The following is a 24,944-nucleotide window of genomic DNA, read 5'->3' as shown; positions in this document are numbered from 1 at the left end:
TATTTTCTGTTTCCCCCTTTCTGCTTTTGCGACTGCTGTTTTAGGGAGAGATTCATTCTTTCCACTATGGCTTGTCCTTGAGAATTGTATGGGATGCCAGTAATGTGTTTAATATCCCACATAGAGAAAAATGTAGCTAGAGTTTGGCTAGTATAGCCTGCGGCATTATCTGTTTTAATGGAAGCTGGAATGCCCATCACTGCAAAACACTGCAAAGGTGACATTTAACACAGGCAGAAGACTCTCCTGTTTGGCATGTAGCCCAGACAAAGTGAGAAAAGGTGTCCACACATACATGTACATAAGCTAGTCTCCCAAACGAGGGAACATGTGTGACATCCATTTGCCAAAAGAGTTAGGTTCCAGTCCTCTAGGATTAACTCCTCCTGTAAAAGATGAGGAATGTACCACTTGGCAAGTTGGGCATCGCTGGATAATAGCTTTAGCTTCTTTCCAGGTAATGCTGTATCTGTGTTTGAGACCAGAGGCATTAACATGGGTTAAACTGTGAAAGTGTCTAGCATTAGATACTGCAGTAGCAACTAGGCGATCAGCCATTTGATTCCCTTCAGTCAAAGATCCTGGAAGATGTGTATGAGCCCTTATGTGAGTGATGTAAAATCGGTGCATTCTACTTCTAACTGCTGTTTGCAATTGGGTAAATAAAGTCATCAGTTTTTCTTCTGTATGAAATCGTAACTGAGCATTTTCAATTAACTGTGTGGAATGAACCACGTATGAAGAATCAGAAATCACATTAATAGGCATATCAAAAGCAGTCAATACCTCAATTACAGCTACAAGCTCTGCTTTTTGAGCTGAAGTATAGAGCGTCTGAAAAACTTTACATTTTGATCCAAAATAAGAAGCTTTACCATTACTAGACCCTTCTGTAAAAACATTCTCAGCACTTTTAATTGGTTTAAATTTAGTTATTTTGGGGAGAATCCAATTAGTTAATTTCAAAAACTGAAACAGCTTCATTTTAGGAAAATGATTATTGAGAACACCCACAAAGTCAGCTAAATGGGTTTGCCAAGTAAGACTATTTATAAAAGCTTGCTTTATTTGTGCCTTCATGAGAGGGACAATAATTTTTCCAGGATCATATTCATGTAATTTAACAATCTGAGTTCTCCCAATCCCTATCATAGTAGTGATTTGATCTAAATAAGGAGTTAGAGTCCATGAATTAGTATGTGGAAGAAAAAGCCACTCTACTAAGTCCTGTTCTCAGACAATAACACCAGTAGGTGAATGCAGAGTTGAAAAAATTAGCAAATCTAGAGTCTTCTCTGGATCTATTCAATTTATTTGAGCTTTATGGACTTGCTTCTCAATCAGTTGTAACTCTGCCTCAGCCTCCATCATTAATTGCCGAGGGCTAGTGAGACTAGGATTTCCTCTAAGGATAGAAAACAGGTTACTCATGGCATGGGTAGGAATGCCTAGAGCAGGTCGTATCCAATTAATGTCCCCTAGTAATTTTTGAAAGTCATTTAATGTTTTTAGTTGATCCCTATGAATGGTTACTTTCTGTGACACAGTGGTAGTGTCATTTACTAAGGTCTCCAAGTAGGATTAAGAAGTAGTAGTCTGAATTTTGTCAGGAGCTATAATTAAACCAGTGCAAGAAATCGATTTTTGCAAGTGATCATAACATTGAAGTAATATTTCTCCAGTGGGGGCAGCACAAAGTATACCATCCATATAGTGAATAACGTAACACTGTGAAAATTTTTTACGAGTAGGTTCAATTGCTTGCCCCACAGGCAAATTGTGGGACTGTTTAGCATGCCCTGTGGCAACACTTTGCAATGATAACACTTAGCAGGCTGCAGGTTGTTTACTGCAGGAATTGTAAATGCAAACCGTTCACAGTCTTGCTCAGCTAAAGGGATAGTAAAGAAACAGTCTTTTAAATCTATGACTATTAAAGGGCAATTTTTTGGAATTATAGCAGAAGGCGGCAATCCTGTCTGTAATGCTCCCACAGGTTGTATAACTGAATTGATGGCTCTTAAGTCAGTTAACATTCTCCATTTACCTGATTTTTTCTTAATTATGAAACAAACAAACAAACAAACAAACAAAAAACCCTGGTGAATTCCCATGGGAAAATGTTGGAGCTCTGTGCCCATTTTCTAATTGTTCAGTAACTAATTTCTCTAAAGCCTCCAGTTTCTCTTTACTTAGCAGCCATTGTTCTATCCAAATTGGCTTATCTGTTAACCATTTTAAAGGTATAGGTTCTGGAGGCTTAACAATGGCCACCAGCAAAAATGATATCCTAATCTTTGGTGGAAACTTTTCAAACCTTGCAAATTTTTTTCTAGTCCCATACCAGGGACATACGCCATTTCATGCATCATATGTTGACTTTGAAGTCTATATAACTGTTCTGGAATTAGAACTTGTGCTCCTCATTGATGTAATAAATCTTTTCCCCATAAATTTATAGGTACAGAAGTTATAATTTGTTGAATAGTCCCATGTTTTTCATCAGGCCCTTCACAATGCAAAATATAACTACTCTGATATACTTCAGGGGCTTTACCGTTTCCAACTATGTTAAATTTAGTGGGTTGAATTGGCCACACGGATGGCCACTGCTGTAGAGAAATGATTGAAATGTCCGCTCCTGTATCTGCCAAACCTTTAAATTTCTTTCCCTGAATAGTTATGTCACAGGTAGGACGTTTATCAGTAATTTGATTTACCCAATAAGCTGCTTTGCCTTGTTCATTCGTGCTTCCAAATCCTCCTGTTCATTTAATTTCACTTTTTCCCATTACCACATACAGCACAATCAGGAGCTGTACTATGCCCTCTCCTAGCTCTGCTTTCCAGCGAACAGAAGTAGATATAACAATGTGGATTTCCCCATTGTAATCTGAATCAATGACTCCTGTATGTATTTGTGCCCCCCCCCTTTTTTTTTTGAGACGGAGTCTCGGTCTGTCACCCAGGCTGGAGTGCAGTGGCGCAATCTCAGCTCACTGCAAGCTCCACCTCCCTGGTTCATGCCATTCTCCTGCCTCAGCCTCCCAAGTAGCTGGGACCACATGCACCCGCCAAGACGCCTGGTTAATTTTTTGTATTTTTTAGTAGAGACGGGGTTTCACTGTGTTAGCCAGGATGGTCTCGATCTCCTGACCTTGTGATCCGCCCGCCTCGGCCTCCCAAAGTGCTGGGATTACAGGCGTGAGCCACTGCGCCTGGCCTTGTGCCTCTTTTAAACTTAAACTAGACTTTCCTAAAAGTAATCCTATTGTCCCCGCTGGCAAGAGTCTACAGACTTCTGTTGGGATCTTTTGTGGGGGTTCCCCAGGCAGAAGGCTCACAGCTTTTGTGCAATATAAATCTACTGCGGCACTACCAGCGGTGGTGGGTGACAGACATTGTACAGGGGTGAGGGAATGGCCTGAGCTGGAAATGCCCCGGTTTAGAATGGGGCCCGGGAAGGGCCCCTCATGGTATTTCCCAAAATCGGGTTTCCTACTTTATCAAACTTAAGAGTGACAATGATTAACCCAATGTTTTCCTTTTTTACATTTTGGACATATTTCAGACTCAGCAGTTTTCTTTTTTCCCCTATCTGGCAGCCTGGCTCGCTGATTTTTTCTACATTCTTTTTTAGTATGACCATGCTTCCCATAGTTAAAACAAGCTCCAGGAAATGGAGTATTTCCTTTGTCCACTCTCAGTCCTGCCATTGCCTGTGCCAACAAAGTAGCTTTATGCAGATTACCTGTGATACCATCACAGGCCTTGATATAATCAACTAAATGTGCTTTCCCTCTGACAGGTTGCAGAGCAGCCTGGCAATTGGGATTAGCATTGTTGAAATATAATAACTGCAACACTATATTCTGAGCAGCCGAATCTGCATCATCTTTTTAAGAAGACTCCTGTAACCGAGCTATAAAATCAAGGTATAGTTCTCCTGGTCCCTGTTTTATAGCACTAAAGGAAGGGTATTGTTCTACACCTATAGTGATTTTTTTCCCAAGCTTTAATGCACACTCTGTTAAGCTGCTCTGTGGCATCATCCTGCATGACCCCTTGGACATCTAAACTAGCCCAGTTGCCAACCCCCAAAAGTTGGTCTGCAGTTATACTAATTTGAGGTTGGGCCTGGGCATTGCAAGCAGCCTGAATGGCAGTTTCATCTGCCCACGAAGTTTTAAATTTTAAGAACTGAGCAGGAGTTAGACAAGCTCGAGTAAGAGCATCCCAGTCAGTAGGAATCATCCAACTGGAAACAGCAACATTCTTTAACAGTCCCATTACAAAAGGAGAACCTGGTCCATACTGATTTATAGCTTGTTTAAATTCTTTGAGTAATTTAAAAGGAAAAGGCTCAAATGTAGCTATAATATTTCCCTGTTGATCTGGGGGTGGTGTATTCTAACAGGGAACTGCCAAGCCTCTAAATCACCCTCTCATCTAGCTTGCTGAATTCCTGCGTGAATAGAACTAAGAGCAGTCGCTTGAGGTGCTGCTCAAACAGTCACTGGGGCAACTACTTTTCGCCCAGTGTCCTCTGGAAAAGAAAGATCTTGAAAGTCATTTTCTTCAAAATAATCATGAGGGGGTGCAGAAGGGTAAGGATGAATCTCTCCCTCCTTTGCTGCTTTAGCTTTAGCTGGTAAATAAATGTGCTCTGTACTCTCTTCTGTTACTTCATTAAACTCTCCTTCCTCCTCATCATCCGTGTGAAAAAGTTCCAAGGTGAAACAAACCAGACCCCAAACGTGTCCCATTGTTACCCTGACGCTTCCGAGCGCCCCTTCTTACTCACCAAGGAGATTGCTTTAAGAGTATTCACATGTCCTTCAGCTAGTTTTCCTTTCCAAATGTTGCTCCGGTGACCCTTCAACCTGGATTTGAGCCCCCACAATGGACTCCACTTGCTGAGACCAGCTCGGTCAGGGAGACCCTAACCCAGCAGTGCTAGAGGAATTAAAGACACACACACAGAAATATAGAGGTGTCAAGTGGGAAATCAGGGGTCTCACAGCCTTCAGAGTTGAGAGCCCCAAACAGAGATTTACCCACGTATTTATTAACAGCAAACCAGTCATTAGCATTCTTTCTATAGATATTAAATTAACTAAAAGTATCCCTTATGGGAAACGAAGGGATGGACTGAATTAAAGGAATATGTTGGGCTAGTTAACTGCAGCAGGAGCATGTTCTTAAGGCACAGATCACTCATGCTATTGTTTGTGGCTTAAGAATGCCTTTAAGTGGTTTTCCACCCTGGGCAGGCCAGGTGTTCCTTGCCCTCATTCCTGTAAATCCACAACCTTCCAACTTGGGCGTTATGGCCATTATGAACATGTTATAGTGCTGCAGAGATTTTGTTTATGGCCAGTTTTGGGGACAGTTTATGGCCAGATTTGGGGGGGCCTGCTCCCAACAGCCCTCATATTTTATTGGTGAAAAGGCAGATCCCAAGAGACAATGAAAAAGATACTTGATTTCTACTGTAGGGTTGATCCTGGAACAATCTGGGCCTGAACTGTGCAGGTCCACTTACAGAGGATTTTTAAAAACAAATGCAGTAGGTCCGTATGGGCAGTTTCCACATTTGAAACCAAACGTGGTAGGAAAATACAGTATTGGTCAGGTTCCAGGCCTACATGCACAGAGGGTTGACTTTTCCTACCCACAGGCTCCACAAGGCTGATTTCAGGACCTGGGCATACATGCATATGTGCCGAGACCAGCTTGGTCAAGGAGACCCCAACCCAGTGGTGCTAGAGGAATGAAGACAAACACACAGAAATAAAGTGCAAAGTGGGAATCAGGGGGAAAACAGCCTTGAGAGCTGAGAGCCACAAACAGAGTTTGACCCACATGTTTATTGACAGCAAGCCAGTGATAAGCATTGTTTCTATAGGTTACAGATTAGCTAAAAGCATTCCTTACGAAAAACAAAGCATACTTAGAGAGGAGTAGAGAAACAGTCTCTGGCCGATTATCTGCAGCAAAAACATGTTGTTAAGGCTCAGGCCACTCATGCTGTTGTTTGTGGTTTGAGCAGTTTTCCGCTCCGGGTGGGCCAGGTGTTCCCTACCCTGCTCCAGTAAACTAACAACTTCTAGCAGTGGGCGTCATAGCCATCAGGAGCACGTCACATTCGTGCAGAAATCCTGTTCATGGTCAGTTTAAGGCCTGTTTATGACAGGCTTAGGGCCTGTTCCCAGCATGTCCCCTTTTCTGTTTTTGCAAAGCGATAAAAGCAAAGGCAGCTTCGTCATGGTGGGCTACTTCTCGCAGGATTCGGGATCCACATCTGCAGACTACACAAAGACAAACAATACAGATTAAAGGCACAATCATCATTGAAATCACAAAGTCTCCAAGTGTCTTGATCCACTTGTATGGGTGAATAGCTGCTAATCCATCTGCAGCTCCTTCAAGCACTTTAGTTCCTGTCATTAATGTCAGATGTGCCTGAGAGGCTTGAAATATGTGTTCCTTCAGTTTTGCAATATCCAAAGATAAATTTCCAGTATGATCCTTTAAATGTCTCTTAACTCTTTCCCACTCATGCTCTGTTTCATTATACAGGTGAGGAGTAATGCAAAAATCAGAAGTATTTCAATCACATTGTTAACTGCATTCTATATTTTAAACTAACTACATGATCTCCCAACCATACGATAGTTTGTCGGAGATCATTAATCTGATTGGTTAATTTCTGGTGTATATTAGTTTGGGAATTCCACAGCAAAGTAGAATTTTTCTGCCAATTATTTACATAATCTGCTGTTTGTACTGTGTTGGTAAAGCAACTCCAGCTACCGTGGCAGTAGCTGTGACAGCAATCAATCCCATAATGATTAAAGTAGCAATGAAACCCTGAGAGTGCCTCAAAATCTTTTGAAGAATTTCAGTAATAATATGCACAGAAGGAGAGGCTTCTCAAGGACGGGAAAGCTTTACAGGTATCCATACTCCTTCTCGGGCTCTTACCACTAAGATAGAATGATCAGTATTATACAAGGAAGAATTCACACAAGAAAACAATCTACATTCTTGACAGTCACATGATGATTAGGGAGATCAAGTTTTAAATCACTCACTACAAGCAGAAAGGGAGGACAGACACAACTATGTATCCAGACTGAATCATTGTGAGCCAATTCTAACATGTAATTAGGATTATATTGGGATGGCTTAGTATATTTCCCTTCCCAAATCTTTTATCTTTTTCAGTGCCATTAATATTTTCCACAATTCCTTATGTTTAGCTCCTACAGCAGGTCGTATCATTTGGGGTCGAGGTTCCACCATATCACCATATGTCCAAATAATAGGAACTTTTGTTGTATTTTTTATAGTGTCTACCATCTGATCATTTTCTTTAGATGCAGGGTGACCATTACCTACAGATTGAGAAGTGAGCCTTATAAATGCCCCTTTAGGGGACCAATCAATAGTGACTCCATATGAATCATTACACAACACCTTTGCTTGCCCTGCAATACAATCTTCCCAAGTAAATATCTTCATTTTTTTCTGAACATGTTCAATCCACTATACAGATAGGTTTTTGAGGGCGGTAAACTTTGGTTACAGGGGCATAATCATTGTAATAAATACTAAGGTCAGAAAGCATATGTAATTGTGCCACAGAGATGTTACCTTCAGGCACTATTGCCAGCCAAGATTGATGACTGGGAGGTAAGCACCTGTTGGCTTTTCCCAAGCAAGTAGTTAAATGCTCAAATCCCAACGAAATATTCATAATTGTTCCCTCCTTTTGGGGGTGAGATGGGCCTCTATCATCTGTAGAACCAGGTATCCAAAAGCTATCATTAGTGTATACCTCCACTGGGGGGTCTAACCATGTCACTGGCCATGAAACTGGTGGAAAAGGAATATATGCCCAATAAGTATAATGTTTTTTGTTTCAGCAGGTGCTGGGGGAATACTCATGGCAATGGTGAGCACAGCCATCATAGCTACCATTAGATTACTCATTGTAGCTGGTCATCCGCTTTCTTCAGATTTTCTTCCGCCATCTGTGTCAACTTCTTGATCTGGCCCCACATGGGTGGCTGTGCCCGATGAATGTTGCTTGCTGGGACTGATGTCTTCCTTATTGTCAGTCTTGACATGGCTGCAACTGGGGGGTCCTTGGGTTCTTCCCAAAATCTCTTCCTCAGTATCTGGCTCATGACAAGATTTCAGGTGTCTTGATGGTATCCAAATCAGTTGCTGGTTTTGGCCTGGAGAAACACAAGCATAACCTCTACCCATGTTATTTTTACCTATTTCCCAACTTTCTGTTATCGGATCTCTCCACCAAACCAGTTGCTCTGCTTCTGTCTGCAGCCGGTTTCTGTAGATGCTGTTCAGCTGCTGATTGCATCTGGCCTTTAGGCAGGCTCAAAAAATTTAAAGACAATAATGCTAGATTCAATTGCATATGTGGAGTCCCGTAGTCATTGTCTCCCTCTTTCTGTTTATTCAATTGTCATTTTAGGGAGATATTCATTCATTTCACAATGGCTTGTCCTTGTGAATTATACGGGATGCCAGTGATATGTTTAATATTCCATTGACAGAAAAATGTAGCCATAGTTTGACTAGTATATCCTGGGGCATTGTCCATTTTAACCAAAGCTGGAATACCCATGACTGTGAAGCATTGCAGAAGATGCAATTTAACACAGGCAGAAGATTCCCATTTGACAGATAGGCCAAACAAAGTGAGAAATTGTTACCTACACATACATGCACATAGGCCAATTTACTAAAAGAAGGAACATGAGTGACATCCATTTGTCAAAGACAGTTTGGTTGCAATCCACAGGGGTTAACACCCCCAGTAAAGGACAGAGAATGAATCATTTGACAGGTTGGGCATTGTTGAATAATGGCTTTAGCCTCTTTCCAAGTAATATTATATCTTTGTGTAAGACCAGAGGCATTTACATGAGTCAAAGTGTGAAAGTGTTTAGCATTAGATAATGCCGTGGCAACTAAGTGGTTAGCCACTGGATTCCCTGTAGTTAAAGGTCCTGGAAGGGGTGTATAAGCTCTAATATGAGTAATGTAAAAAGGGTGCATTATATTCCTAACTGCAGTTTGTAACTGGGTAAATAAAGTCATCAGTTGTTCATCTGTATGAAATCATAACTGAGCATTTCAATTAATTGTGTGGAATGAGCCATGTATGCAGAATCAGAAATTACATTGACAGGCATCTCAAAAGCAGTCAGCACCTCAATTACAGCTACAAGCTCCGCTTTTTGAGCTGAAGTATAGGATGTCTGGAAAACTTTATTTTTTGATCTGGAATAAGAAGCTTTACCATTACTAGACCTACCTGTAAAAACATTTTCAGAACATTCAATTGGTTTAAATTTAGTTATTCTAGGGAGAATCCAATTAGTTAATTTCAAAAATTGAAATAACTTTGTTTTCGGAAAGTGATTATGAAGAACACCCATGAAATCAGCTAAATGGGTTTGCCAATTAAGAGTATTTATAAAGGCCTGTTGTATTTGTGCCTTTGTAAGAGGGACAATAATTTTTCCAGGGTCATATCCATGCAATTTAACAATTTGAGTTCTCCCATTTCCTATCAGAGTAGCAATTTGATCTAAATAAGGAGTTAGAGTCCATGAATTACTATGTGGAAGAAAAAGCCATTCTACCAAGTCCTGCTCTTGGACAACACCACCAGTAGGTGAATGCTGAGTTGGAAAAATCAATAAGTCTAAAGTCTTTTCTGGATCTATTCTATTTATTTGAGCCTTATGCACTTGCTTCTCAATCAGCTGTATCTCTGCCTCAGTCTCTGTTGTTAATTGCTGAGGGCTAGTGAGACTAGGATTTCCTGTAAGGATAGAAAATAGATTACTCATGGCATAGATAGGAATGCCTAGAGCAGGTCGTGTCCAATTAATGTCCCCTAGTAATTTTTGAAAGTCACTCAAAGTTTTCAATTGAGGCCTACGTATGGTTACTTTCTGTGGCACAATGGTAGTGTCATTTACTAAGGTCCCTAAGTAGAAGTAAGGAGTAGTAGTCTGAATTTTGTCAGGAGCTACAATTAAACTGGCAGGAGAAATCGGGTTTTGCAAGTGATCATAACATTGGAGTAATATTTCCCGAGTGGGGGCAGCACAAAGAATATTGTCCATATAATGAATAATTTAACACTGTGACAAATCTTTTATGAGTAAGTTCAATTGCTTGTCCTACATAAGTCTGACAAATTGTTGGACTGTTTAACATGCCTTGTGGCAACACTTTCCAGTGAAAATGCTTAGCAGGCTGCGTGTTGTTTACTGCAGGAATTATAAATGCAAACCATTCACAGTCTTGCTCAGCTAAGGAGTTAGTAATGAAACAGTCTTTTAAATCTATGACTATTAAAGGCCAATTTTTTGGAATCATAGCAGGAGAAGGCAACCTGGGCTGCAATGCCCCAGTAGGTTGTATAACTGAATTAACGGCTCTAAGATCTGCCAACATTCTCCATTTATGTGATTTTTTCTTAATAACAAGGACTGGAGAATTCCAGGGGGAAAATGTTGGAACTATGTGTCCTTTTTCTAATTGTTCAGTAACTAAGTCCTCTAAAGCCTCCAGTTTTTCTTTACTCAGAGGCCATTTTTCTAACCAAGCTGGCTTATCTGTTAACCATTTTAAAGGCATAGGTTCTGGAGGCTTAACAATGGCCTCCATCAAAAATGATATCCTAACTCTGATGAGAATTCTGTCCTTTCACTTGAAGGGGTTTCTTTAACCCTTGTAAATTTTTTCTTAATCCCATGCCAGGCACATACACCATCTCTTGCATCATATGCTGACTCTGAGAGCTATATAATTGTTCTGGAATTAACATTTGTGCTCCCCATTGCTGTAATAAATCTCTTCCCCATAAATTTACAGGTACAGAAGTTACAATTGGTTGAATAGTCCCAGATTGTCCATCGAGTCCTTCATGATGCAAAATATCACTGCTTTGATATACTTCAGAGGCTTTACCAACTTCAACTGTGTTAAATCGAGTGGGTTGAATTGGCCATGTAGACGGCCAGTGCTGTAGAGAAATGATTGAAATGTCTGATCGTGTATCTAACAATCCTTTAAATTTTTTGCCCTGAATAGTTATTTCACAGGTAGGATGTTTACCAGTAATTTGATTCACCCAATAAGCTGCTTTGGTTTATTTATTTGTGCTTCAAAATCCTCCTGTACATTTAGTTTCACTTTTCCCCACTTCCACATACAGCACAACCAGGAGCTGTGCTATATGCTCTCCTGGCTCTGCTTTCCAGAGAACAGAAGTAGATATAACAATTTGTATTTCCCCATTGTAACCTGAATTAATGACTCCTGTATGTACTTGCACTCCTTTTAAATTTAAACTAGAACTACCTAGAAGTAATCCTACCGTCCCTGCTGGCAAGGGTCCACAGACTCCTGTTGGCACTTTTTGTGGGGGTTCCCCATGCAGAAGGCTCACAGCTTTTGTGCAGCATAAATCTACTGTGGCACTACTGGCTGTGGCGGGGGACAGGCATTGTACGGGGTGAGGGAGTGGCCTGAGCTGGAAATTCCCTGGTTTGGAATGGGGCCTGGGACAGGCACCTCATGGCATTTCCCAAAATCAGGTTCCCATCTGTCTCAAACTTAGACTGACACTGATTAGCCCAGTGTTTTCGTTTTTTGCATTTTCGACATATTTCAGGCTCAGCAGTTTTCTATTTTCCCCCAACTGGCAGTCTGACTCACTGATTTTTTTCTACATTCTTTCTTAGTATGACCATGCTTCCCACAACAAACTCCAGGAAATGGAGTATTTCCTTTGCCCACTCTCATTCTTGCCATTGCCTGGGCCAGCAGAGTAGCTTTATGCAGATTACCTACGATACCATCACAAGCTTTAATATAGTCAACCAAATGTGCTTTTCCTCTAATAGGTCACAGAGCAGCTTGGCACTCAGGATTGGCATTGTCGAAAGCTAATAACCAAAACACTATATCCTTAGCAGGCGAATCTGTAATTACCTTTTTAAGAGATTTCTGTAACCTGGCTATAAAATCTGCATAAGGTTCTTTAGGCCCCTGCTTGACAGCACTAAAAGAAGGGTATTGTTCTCCTCCTGAAGTGATTTTTTTCCCAACCTCTAATGCACACTCCTCTAAGCTGCTCTATGGCATCATCCTGCATGGCCACTTGTGCATCTATCTAAACAAGCCCAGCCACAAACCCCCAAAAGTTGGTCTGCAGTTATATTAATTTGAGGTTGGGCCTTGGTGTTGCGAGCAGACTGAATGGAAGCTTCATCTGCCCACCAAGTTTTAAATTGTAAGAACTGAGCCAGAGTCAGACTAGCTCGAGTAAAAGCATCCCAGTCAGTAGGAATCATCTGACTAGAGACAGCAACATTCCTTAACAGTCCCATTACAAAAGGAGAACCTGGTCCATATTGATTAATAGCATGTTTAAATTATTTAAGTATTTTAAAAGGAAAAGCCTCAAACATAGCTATAATATTCCCCTGTTGATCAGGTGGGTGTATTCTAACAGGGAACTGCCAAGCATCCATATCACCCTCTCATCCAGCTTGCTGGATCCATGCCTGAATAGAACTGAGAGTGGTCGCTTGAGGTGCTGCTTGAACAGTCACTGAGGCAACTACTTTTCGCCCAGCGTCCTCCAGAAAAGAAAGATTCGGAGGGTCAGGCCACTCTTTTTCTTCAAAATGATGAGGGGGTACAGAGGGGGAGGGACAAACCTCCCTCCTTTGCTGCTTTAGCTGGCAAGCAAAACTGCTCTGTCACCTCTTTTGTTACTTCATTATACTCTCCTTCTTCCTCTGATTCCTCCTCATCATGATCTGTGTGGAAAGGCTCCAAGGTGGGATGAACCAGAGCCCACACTGACCAGATATTTATAGGAATATCCTCAGCACCATCCCTATATGCCTTTTTCAGTGCTCTGGCTACCTTTTCCCAGATCTCTATATTCATAGTTCCTTGGTCCAGAAACCAGGGGCAATATTTCTCTACCACACTACAAAGCTGCATAAGTCGGCTAGTACTAACCTTCCTTCCCCCTTTTCTGAGGAGCTGCCAAAACAGACTCAAATAAGACTCATGCCTGCTCGACCCTTGTCCCATTGTTACCCTGATGCTTCCAAGCTCCCCGTCTTACTTACCAAGGGATTGCTTAAGAGTACTCTGGTGTCCTCCAGTGTAGTTCCACGTTCTCCGTCGCTCCAGCAACCCCTCAACCCGGGTTTGAGCCCCTTGTTGGACGCCACTTGATGAGACCAGCTCGGTCGTGGAGACCCCAACCCAGTAGTGCTAGAGGAATGAAGACAAACACACAGAAATAAAGTGCAAAGTGGGAATCAGGGGGATAACAGCCTTCAGAGCTGAGAGCCACGAACAGAGTTTGACCCACATATTTATTGACAATAAGCCAGTGATAAGCATTGTTTCTATAGGTTATAGATTAGCTAAAAGCATTCTTTACAGGAAACAAACATTCTTAGTGAGGAGCAGAGAAACAGTCCCTGGATGATCATCTGCAGCAAAAACATGTTGTTATGGAACAGGCCGCTCATGCTGTTGTTTGTGGTTTGAGCAGTTTTCCACTCTGGGTAGGCCAGGTGTTCCTTGCCCTGCTCCAATAAACCAATATCTTCTAGCAGTGTGTGTCATAGCCATCATGAGCACGTCACATTACTGCAGAAATCCTGTTTATGGCCAGTTTCTTTAAGGCCTGTTTATGACAGGCTTAGGGCCTGTTCCCAGCAGATTTGGGTGTCCAAAGTGGGTCCTGGAACCAATCCTCTGGATACCAAGGGACAACTGTGTTTGAACCATGGTTTGAGTTTGGAGAGATTAATGACAACAGTGGCTAAGCATGGGAAGGATTTCTATGGTGGGACTGCATTGGACCACCTCTGAATGTGTGTATTATGACTCACTGGAGCCTGTTGTGTTAGCCCATAAGGAGGGTAATTATTGTTGACACTTGCTCATCCTCTACAGTTTAGTCAATTGAATGTGCAGTTTAGTAAATTAAACAATTCTAAATTATTATTTGATTGGGGTTAGCAGGATGCAAATAATAAGATTAACTCAGAGTATCCTAAAAATTCCCCCAGTTGTATTTAGTTTTGTGGAATTATGTCCTCTTTCCAATTTTGCAACATTTCCTTGCATGTTAAAACATTCTTCCCTGAACCCACAATGAGTCTTTTACAACTCTTCTCTGATACAAGAAAAAAAGATATTTCAATGAAAAACAGAGCTTGATTTTGTACATAAGCTAAAAACAAACAAAACAAACCCAGAGGTGTACCTGCTCTGCTCATTCCCTTGTGCCCAAGAGAAAAAAAAGAACACACCATCACGGAAACTGATGCCTTAGGAAATCTTTTATTCATCACTTGGAAACTTATAACCAGCACACTGAGGGCAGTAGCCATTTCTCTCAGCTGCTTGTAGATAATTCACATCTTTGCCAAAAGACTCTCCTTCAAAAAATGTGGAAAACTGATTTCAATGAGTTAAGGAAATACAAGTGATGAGGAATGGAGAAAAAAATAACACAGAGATAATCTGTCTTGTCACATTTTATGCCTAGATATTGAGAGTATCAAGGAGATGTGTGCCTGGTGATGAATAAAGACAACCAGCTGATCTTTGAGGCATGGAATTGGGACTTGGAACTGCACCCCCCAGCTCAGATTTTCTGTTATTGACCTTCTGGAGAGACAGGCATATTGGCGTCCTTGGTTTACCTACACTAAACTTCTTGCATACAGATGAGCAAACTGAGAGCTAGCAAAATGAACTGGCCCAAATTTACAGAATTAAGTGACTTTGTCACATGAGTCAGTGAAGAGCCTCAAAGATTAGTGAAGTCTATAAGATTGTGGGAGAGTCATCAACTAAGTTATGCAAGCTGTCCCATCCCTTCCCAGATTTCACATGGAAAATTTCAGTGGGAACAGAGGCAAATGAAGGGAGTTGGGTACACATATGAGGGCTGGTGTGGCCATTGAGATGCCTGAGCATTTACCAAGGGAGTTTTTATTTTTAGAAGGAAATATCTGCAGCATCTTACCAAACGCTTTGCCCGGGATCTCAGAGGCTCTGAGAACACTAAGCTCTGCCTGTGTTCCTACATTACGAAAAACCAAGAGGGATGTCGCCCTTGTGCTTGTGTTTTACTGAGAGGGAGGCTCATGGTCCCATCCAGACAACCTCCACACCCCGCCTTTGATCCCAGAGGCTGATGGAGAATGTCTTAGCCAGCTGCAGCCCTAGGTATGGTTCTAACACATGGAGGATCCTCTGAGAAATCTATAGGGCTTCATTAGGGCCATTAATAGGGTTGTTTGTCTTGCCACATTTCTGGGACTTTCAAATTTTTTTAATGGGTAGCTTTAATATTATTATTATTTTTTTTAATGGAGTCTTGCTCTGTCACCCAGGCTGGAGTGCAATGGCACAATCCCAGCTCACTGCAGCCTCTGCCGCCTGGGTTCAAGCAATTCTCTTGCCTCAGCCTCCTCAGTAGCTTGGATTACAGGCACTCACCAACAAAACTGGCTAATTTTTGTACTTTTAGTAGAGACGGGATTCCACCCTATTGGCCAGGCTGATCTCGAACTCCTGACCTCAAGTGATCCACCCTCCTTGGCCTCCCAAAGTGCTGGGATTACAGGTGTGAGCCACCACACCAAGCCATATTTGCTTCAATATTTTAACACAAAATGATACTTTAACTTATCATCCAGTGTTCCCACTATTCAATAGGATGCAACTGCTGTGCTTTTTTTGAAATAACTATTTTTGAAAATAATTATTTCAAAATGTAGTCCTCCCACAAAGTCCTATTTCTATTGGGATTTTAAAGGATTACACAAAATAGCCATCACATTTCACTTAATGTGCCCTATGTAATGCAGCACCCAGCCTGCTACAGCCACTTGGGCGGCTTTTGCCCACTTTCTCCTCCAGGATCTCTCACATGAATCAAGGCTGTGATCAAATAGAACATTCTCACTCCATCCCCTCCTAACCCCCAATTCAGATTGTAGCCCACCCCTCAGCAGTCCCTATCCCCTTTCCTTCATTTTGTTCCATAACTTTTGACACCTTCCCACATTGTATGGTTGTGCTTTTCTATTTTTTTTTTTTTTTTTTTGGACGAAGTCTCACTCTGTCGCCCAGGCTGGAGTGCAGTATTGTGATCTCGGCTCACTGCAAGCTCTGCCTCCCAGATTCACGCCGTTCTCCTGCCTCAGCCTCCTGAGTAGCTGGGACTACATGTGCCCGCCACCACGCCCAGCTAATTTTTTTGTATTTTTTAGTAGAGACGGGGTTTCACCATGGTAGCCAGGATGGTCTTGATCTACTGACCTCATGATTCACCCAATTCAGCCTCCCTAAGTGCTGGGATTACAGGTGTGAGCCACCATGCATGGCCAGTTGTGCTTAGTTCTTTAGTGAACTATTTGCTCTTCTGCACAAAATTGCAAGTTCCACAGGGACATATTTTTTTTTATGGCTTTATTATTTGCGGTATGTCCAGTGCCTAGAAAAGTACCTGGCAAGTGTTGTGAAGTATCTCCTGAATAGAGGCTGAATGTTGTGGTAAGTTTCACTGTGATTCCTCATCTTGTGCCTGCACTTGCAAGTTTCTTCTTGTCTGCCCGGGGAGGTGCACTCAGCACTCTCAGCCCCCCACCACTCAAGGTCCCTGTCTGCATCAGTGTAATTGCCATCGAGTGTCAACAGCACAATCCCTTCCCCCACTCTCATTCAGAAGCTCCTCATCTGCTCTGGGATGGGACAAACTCACTCTTGTGTCATCATTCTTCCAAGTTTATTAAAATTCAAAATGTGAGTGTCTACTCTTTTCTTTCTCTTTGTCCTTTTGTTAAAACTTCCCCTTTGAAAGAGGAGATGCCAAGGTTTAGACTAAATGGGAGAGAAATAGTGGGAAACTGGAGAACAAGGGAGGAAAACCACATTGGTTAATCTATCAAATCATTATATTTCTATATGATTAAGCATAAAATAAAATGTCTTTGAAGAAGTTATGCAGTCCAAGGGGTCTCTAACTAATAAGCAGGTCCTGAAGGACATGGTAAAGCCCATATCAAAGCTGAGTTAATTAGCATTATATCCTGATGAATCTGTGGGGACAAGCAGTTCAGCTAAACTTTCATGAAACAAGGACAGCATTTGGGGGGGTCTGTGTCTGACCTTGTCATAGGTGGGACATCCTTTGAGGGGGATCCGTGAGTCTTAGCTAAGTCAACGGGGAAGGGGAATTCTTTGCGGTAAGGCAGGAACACAAGGTGGGGATTTCTTTAACCATCACAGTTTCCCAGTGCCTCAGGGCTCAAGTAGAATTCAACAGTGTCGCTATCAGTACCTGAGCATATATCATGAAAGAAATAGCTTAAGGCTCCAAATACATATTTACTGTGGAACTGCCAAACAACCATGTTCATGGATTTTGAAAATATCATGGCATGCTGCATCTTGCCATCTGGGACATGTTCCAGACTCAAATGAATCCCATGGACATAAGATTAGCCACAGACAGAATTGTGAAGAACAACAAAACTCCTTAAACTACATGGGTAATTCAGAACCTCAGTGAAAAAAAAAGAAAACTGGAAGGCATGGGGCCACTCTGTGAGTTATGAGGTGCATGATTCAGGCCATTCCTTTCAACCACAACCACAGATGCAAAAGACGGTGGAACTGAGTAACTTGCAGCCTTGTGATGAGCACCAGAATCAAGAAGATTGATAAATACCTGTTTCTCTATGGAATCAATCATTCTTTTCTTTTTTCTTTTCTTTCTCTCTTTTTCTTTTCTTTTCTTTCTCTCTGTCTCTCTCTCTCTTTCTCTCTAATTTTGAGATAGAGTTTAGCTCTTGTCACCCAGCCTGGAGTGCAGTGGCGCAATCTCTGCTCTCTGCAACCTCCGCATCCTGGGTTCAAGTGATTCTCCTGCCTCAGTCTCCTGAGTAGCTGGGATTACAGGCACCCGCCACTACACCTGGCTAATTTTTTGTATTTTTAATAGAGACGGGGCTTCACCATGTTGGCCAGGCTGGTCACGAACGCCTGACCTTGGGTGATCCACCCACCCTGGCCTCCCAAAGTGCTGGGAATACAGGTGTGAGCCACCATGCCCGGCTCTCTATGTAATTTTCTAATCTTCAATTTTGTAATATTTAATTTTCTTCTATAGAAGACTGAAGATTTTCTATAGAAATTAAAGATTTTCTGTAAGCGTCTCACTCTGTTGCCCAGGCTGGAGTGTGGTGGCACAATCTCAGCTCACTGCTACCTCTGCTCTTGGGTTCAAGCGATTCTCCCACCTCAGCCTCCTGAATAGCTGGGATTATAGGTGTGCACCATGACGCTCAGCTAATTTTTGTATTTTTAGTAGAGACGGGTTTCGCCATGTTGTCCAGGATGGTGTTGAGCTCCTCAGCTCAAGTGATCTGTCCCCCTTGACCTCCCGAAGTGTTGGGATTACAAGTGTGAGCCACCATGTCCCGCCTTATGTTGTTAGTTTTTAATCTAAAAGAATGCCTCTGTCTTCGTAGAGTTTTGCTCAGTGTTAATGACAAAATCCTTGCCAAAGTCCCACCAGGTGCCCCATGTGCAGTGGCAATGCCCTGAGCTCCCGCATGTTGCAGGCTGCTTCACTGGATGCTGAGACTTGGTTATTGCAGAAATGCTGAGACTGCTAATTAAGGAAGGAGGAGATTATAAGTAAATAATCTTCCTGAGGATTTTTTTTTTTTTTTTTTGAGATGGAGTTTCACTTTTGTTGCCCAGGCTGGAGCGCAGTAACGCGATCTTGGCTCACCGCAACTTCCGCCTGCCAGATTCAAGCGATTCTCATGCCTCAGCCTCCTGAGTAGCTGGGATTACAGGCATGTGCCACGACGCCCAACTAATTGTTTGTATTTTTAGTGGAGACGGGGTTTCTCCACATTGATCAGGCTGGTCTTGAACTCCCAACCTCAGGTGATCTGCTCGCTTCAGCCTCCCAAAGTGCTGGGATTACAGGCATGAGTCATCATGCCCAGCCTTTTTTTTTCTTTTCTTTTCTTTTTTTTTTTTAAGATAGAGTTTCGCTGTTGTTGCCCAGGCTTGTGTGCAATGGTGCGATCTCAGCTCACTGCAACCTCTGCCTCCCAGGTTCAAGCAATTCTCCTGCCTCTGCCTCCCAAGTAGCTGGGATTCCAGGCATGTGCCACTATGCCTGGTTAATTTTTGTATTTTTAGTAGAGATGGGGTTTCTCCATGTTGGTCAAGCTGGTCTCGAACTGACCTCAGGTGATCTGCCTGCCTCAGCCTCCCAAAGTGCTGAGATTACAGGCGTGAGCCACTGTGCCTGGCCTTCATAAGGATTTTTTAAAGCTATTCACAAACTTCGATCACAAATCTACCCACAGAAGTTGTTTTCTCTGGGAAACTACATTCCCATTTGTGCATAACACAGTGTGGACATGGTGGCTGCAGCTCTCCTAGGGCCTACTGTGGAAGCTTCTTCCTCAACAGAGCCTCAGGATTTATCAAAGTAAAAAAAAATAAAAAATTCATATGGTATCTGACTGCTGCCACTGCTGAAGGAATGTGTTATTTCTCAACCACTAATAAAACACAGAAACAGTTTCATTAAAGATGAGTTGTTGCTTTTCTTTTGAGTAAGAATATCATTATTCTAAGACTTCTATAGTTGTTGATCTGATCAAGTAAATATAGTGAAAGTTTTTTTGTTTCAGGTTATGAAGCAAAGCATTTTATTAGATGCACCACAAAGGGCATATTAATAGTAAATGGCAACACAATTTTAGATTATTAGCACTAAACTACATTTTAAAGATAATGTATAATACTTCTACACAAGGCCTGGCACGGTGGCTCAAGCCCGGAATTCTAGCACTTTGGGAGGCTGAGGTGGAAGGATTGCTTGAGCCCAGGAGGTGGAGGCTGTAATGAGCCGAGTTTGCACCACTGCACTCTAGCCTGGGCCACAAAGTGAGACCTTGTCTCAAACAAACAACAAAAACCAAAAACAAAAACTTGCCACGGTCCACGGGGAAAGTGGCCATGGCCATGTCAACAGGACACTTCAAACCCATGGTGTTTGTAGGTTTGAGGCAGCCACAACATCAGATGTGTTTTCTGGGCTCTGCTGCAGGAACGGAGGAGCTGTGCTGGGCCCCTCGCCCCACTCTGAAGTTTGGCCATGGGCTGGATGTGCTTTTGCTTAAGGAAGATGCCACAGGCTCCTTCCTCCTTCCCAGAGACAGACACAGGTCCCCAAAGCCTCCCGTACCTGGCTGAGGAAGCCAGGCAGACATGTTCCCTGTCCAGAAGGAAGGCCCCAGAGCTCCTCAGGATCTGGAAGCTGAGGAGGAATGCAGAATGGTGTCCCTGGTCAACCCCACTGACCTTGGGGTCATCTGATTTGCAGAGCTGATACCCTGGCTTGTGGGGGAAGAAACATTATGTGTATTTTGAGATTTGTGTTTGTTAACACGTATTATTATCAAGGCCAAGGAAGTCTACTGAGAAGGAAGGAGGAGGACACTGAATACCAGCCCAGGCTGCAGTGAGGCCTCCAGTAGCCTGCTGTATGACTTAATAAATGCTGAGTCAATGCAGAGTTGCGCTTGAAATCATCTCCCAAATCACTCCATTTAAATGGATCTTCCTGAGTCTGAGCTTTCTGCTTTTGGGAGGGTTGTTAATAATTTGCCCACATATATTCATAATGAATTTCTTCATAATGAATGAATTCATGTGGTGTGTTACTCCCCTTCATGCCAAATATTTTCTTATGCCACATACCAACTGCAGAGCTATCAGATTAATTTTGAAGACTTCAGTATGTTTCAAAGACAAGGTATCTGACCAATTCTTATGCAATTGTTTTTTTGTTTTTAGATCTCAAGTTATAGTGTTAAACGCATAACATTTTTTCACTAGATTCAAATTACACAAAGCTTTTGGCTCAGAAAATGCTTAATCAGCATTTGATTGCAGAAAGTTAATAAGCTAATATACAGAAAGTTAATAAGGTAACATACAGAAAGTTCAGTTGCTAACTTATCCCATTGCCAGGCCTTTAATTTGGATGGCCACAGTTGACACTCATGAAAGTCACCACTGATGTGGTGCTGGCTGTGTCCTTCCTGCCAATGTTTTGTGGGTATCATCCATGTGGAGACCTCGATTTTCGGTGGAGTGGCTCCTGGCTTTCTCCCCACTGGACATATCCAGCTCAGCTCCCTTCATCTCCTCTTCCAAGATAACAAGTGTGTTGTTTCACCTCTTTCTCCCTACAAAGCCAGACAGCTTACAAAGCAGGGGCTGTTCCATGTACATCTGACTTTCTCACCCAGGTCTGTGTGTGCACATCTGCATGTGCCTGTAAATATGTGTGCACATATGTGCATTCATGTGTATATGTGTGCCTGTATGTGTGTCTGCACATGTATGCCTGTGTACCAAGAACCCTGAGGTCAGTGGCTGAGTATGAGGAACTTGAAGCTCTTACAAGTACTTTGAATACGGAAAGACACATTTGTGCCACATAGGTGCATTAGTCCTTTGCAGTTGCCTAACAGTCCATTTTATTTTAATGCTAATGTTTGTGATTGTGCGGTGGATTCACAGAATGACAGAGTCGGTGCCTCCCCAGCATCATTGCTCTACATGCATGACCATTATCCAGTGTGTGCACATGTGGGCTGCTAGAGTATTTAGAGTAAACTGGGAGTTCATGGAAACCTGGCTGCTCCCAGAAGCACTCAGCACAGCCTAACATGACATAAAGTGTTACAATTAATAAATAAATTAAGCAAAGCTACTGCATACAAGATCATTATCAACCAGATTACTATATACAACTATGAACACAAAGAAATGAAACAACAAAAATCAAACTAGAGAACAAGAACCTATGACAAAAATAAGCCAATAAAGGGCTAACTTACAGATTTTAACAATAAGTCCTTCAATTTAACATAAGGAAAAAAATCCCTAAAGATAAATCAACAAAATAAGAAGAGTATATGAAGAAAAGTAAGGCACAGAGGCCAATAAATATTTTCTAAACTCTACCTCACATGAAACAGGTTACAGCAAGAGGATCTCTGCAGGGCAGGAGTCCAGAAACACTGAAAATCAATCACCTCAACTTCTTTTTTTTTTCTTGAGAAGAAGTTTTGTTCGGTTGCCCAGGCTGGAGTGCAATGGGGCGATCTCGGCTCACTGCAACCTCTACCTCCCAGGTTCAAGCGATTCTCATGCCTCAGCCTCCCGAGTAGCTGGGATTACAGGTGTCTGCCACCACGCCCTGCTAATTTTTGTATTTTTAGTATAGATGGGGGTTTCACTATGTTGGCCAGGCTGGTCTGGAACTCCTGACCACCCACCTTGGCATCCCAAAGTGTTGGGATTACAGGCGTAAGCCAACGTGCCCGGCACCTCAACTTTTTTCTCAAGAATCAAGAAAGAAAAATCAAGTGCAAAGAATACAGGATGAAGGCAATAATAAAGATAACAAACATCAATGAAATGGAAAAAAAAACATAACACAAATAAACCAAGGCTAAAAGTTGTTTTTATAAACAACATAGTTAATAAACCACTAGCAAAACTGATTAAGGAAAAAAGATTAAAGAACACAAGAGACCAGTATCAGAATCAAAACAACAGCCTACGTAACAGTATTATAACAAGATAATCAGAGAATTTTGTGAAATTCTCCCCGGGAGGCCGAGACTCCTGCTTGTCCTTCCTCCGCTGCCGGCACCCCAGACTCCCGGACTCACCCTCGGCTGGGTTGCCGTCTTCTCCTTTCAGAGATGGATGCCACAGGTTCCGGGCTTCTTGGGCTCTGGGAGGACGCGCAGCGGAAGGCGAGGTCGCTATATGAGGCCGCTCCAAAGTCGCCTCGCGCTGTTGCTGCGTCACTGCCTCCAGCCTCCAGCATCCAGGGAGAGTGCAGGCAAAACTGATTAAGGAAAAAAGATGAAAGAACACAAGTGACCAGTATCAGAATCAAAACAACAACTCTACATAACAGTATTATAACAAGATAATCAGAGAATTTTGTGAAATACATATGATCAAAAGTCTGACAACAGAGATCGCAACAGATGCTGAACCCAACTTACTAAAACTGGCACAAAAATAGCATAAAATAAGAACACTCCTATATATATTAAACAAAATTAACTAACTAATTTTAAAAATCCAACAAATCAACAATAATGCTCCACAAGGAAAACACCAGGATCAGACTTTGAAAATGTTCCAAATATTTAAGGAAGAAAAAAATATTGACACTGCTCACTCTCTCTCAAAGAGAAAGACGAAAGGGATGGTTTTTCAATTTGTTTCGAGAAGCCAGCATTACATTAATACACAATCTGATCAGACAATAAAAAACCCAGAAATAATAGATGTTCTGTTTCACAAACACAGATACAAATATTCTAAGAAAAATATTGTTACATGAACTAAACCAAGCAAGAAATTAAAACTGAAATTAAACAACAAAGACCAGAGTAGGAAACAACAACCTACAATAGAAATGAACCAATAAAGGACTAATCTCTAAAGTGTCTTTAAAAATGCTTCACATCAATGTAGGAAAAACACAAATGATCCAAGACAAAAAGAACACTATGAAGGAAAAAAAAGGGGGGTGCATGGGCGAATAAATATTTGCTAAGCCGTACTATGAAGAGGGTTATTTCCAGTTCCAGATGAGAGATACCCACAGGCAGCCCGGGGGGTGGGACCCCAGGGGACAGGACCCCCAGAAGGTGACAGAGATCCTGGCAGTGGGGGACCTGGGGCAGAAGGTGACCCCATCCTCTTCCCGGGCTGCCGCTCAAGGCTCCTGCCGCTCCCGGGCTCCAGCGCCCTCTCACCGGGTCCTGATCAGGGCTCCCTTTCTCACCCCGGGTCAGGCAGAAGGCCCCGGACCCCAGTCCCAAAAGAAACGGAGGCTGCAGGGCTTCCACGCAGGAGAGAAGGGGAGGGCTCCTCTCCGACCCGGGCTCCTTCAGCGCCCACCCCAGCGGACTCTGAGAGGGCGAGGAGGAGGTCGGGGGCTAGGTTCAAGCCGCACTGGGCCCCGGATTCAAGAAAGAAACGGGCTCCTGAGACGCCTGTGCATCAGAGGGGTCCTGGCTCGGCCTGGGATGGGGCTCGGGGAGAGTCAGACGATCTGCCAGGCTCCCAGCCTGAGGCCGCCCTCCCCGGCGCGCAACCCCCGCCCCCACCGCTGGGGCCCTCCTGCCTTTCCCGGCACGTCGCTCCCCGAGAGGCCGAGACTCCTGCCTGTCCTTCCTCTGCCGCCGGTATCCCAGACTCCCGGACTCACGCGCGGCTGGGTTGCCGTCTCCTCCTTTCAGGGCTGGACGCCACAGGTTCCAGGCTTCTTGGGTTCTGGGAGGAGGCGCAGCGGAAGGCGAGGTCGCTGCATGAGGCAGCTCCAAAGTCGCCTCGCCCTCGCGCTGTTGCTGCCTCACTGCCTCCAGCCTCCAGCATCCGGAGAGAGTGCAGGCAGGCGGCACCCAGTTCTCTTCCTTCTCCTCCTGCCCACGGCGGAGCAGCCTCCAGCATCCAGGGAGAGTGCAGGCACGTGGTGCCTGGCCCTCTTCTTTCTCCTCCTGCCCAGGGCGGAGCCATACAGACCACGCTGCCTGGAGCAGGGTGAAATGCGGAAAGCCCACGGAGCAACTATTTATAATGACTTATTTAACTAGATATCCTGTAAGGCATGTTCGGATTGGATGAGAGCCACTGTGCAAAACAACTCTGATTGGATAATATGACCCAATCAGGGCTGGCTGAAATGTTCCTTCTCGTCCTATCAGACT

General features: G+C 43.0%; 1 long non-coding RNA gene across 1 annotated transcript; it reads right to left on the bottom strand.

Moving 5' to 3' along the window:
• Positions 1-4,988: 4,988 nt before the first annotated feature.
• On the bottom strand, positions 4,989-24,835 carry LINC00839 (long intergenic non-protein coding RNA 839). Its single transcript, NR_026827.1, has 5 exons — positions 24,446-24,835; positions 22,884-23,065; positions 13,200-13,347; positions 7,984-8,246; positions 4,989-6,311 (listed from the first exon to the last, which is right to left on the bottom strand). It is a non-coding gene; the product is annotated as a long intergenic non-protein coding RNA 839 (long non-coding RNA).
• Between the last annotated feature and the right edge of the window lie 109 nt (positions 24,836-24,944).

This window comes from Homo sapiens, chromosome 10, assembly GCF_000001405.40.
Source record: "Homo sapiens chromosome 10, GRCh38.p14 Primary Assembly".
Taxonomy (NCBI): Eukaryota; Metazoa; Chordata; class Mammalia; order Primates; family Hominidae; genus Homo; species Homo sapiens.
The sequence above is the reverse complement of the archived record's forward strand: the minus strand, read 5'-3'. Positions and strand labels throughout refer to the sequence as shown.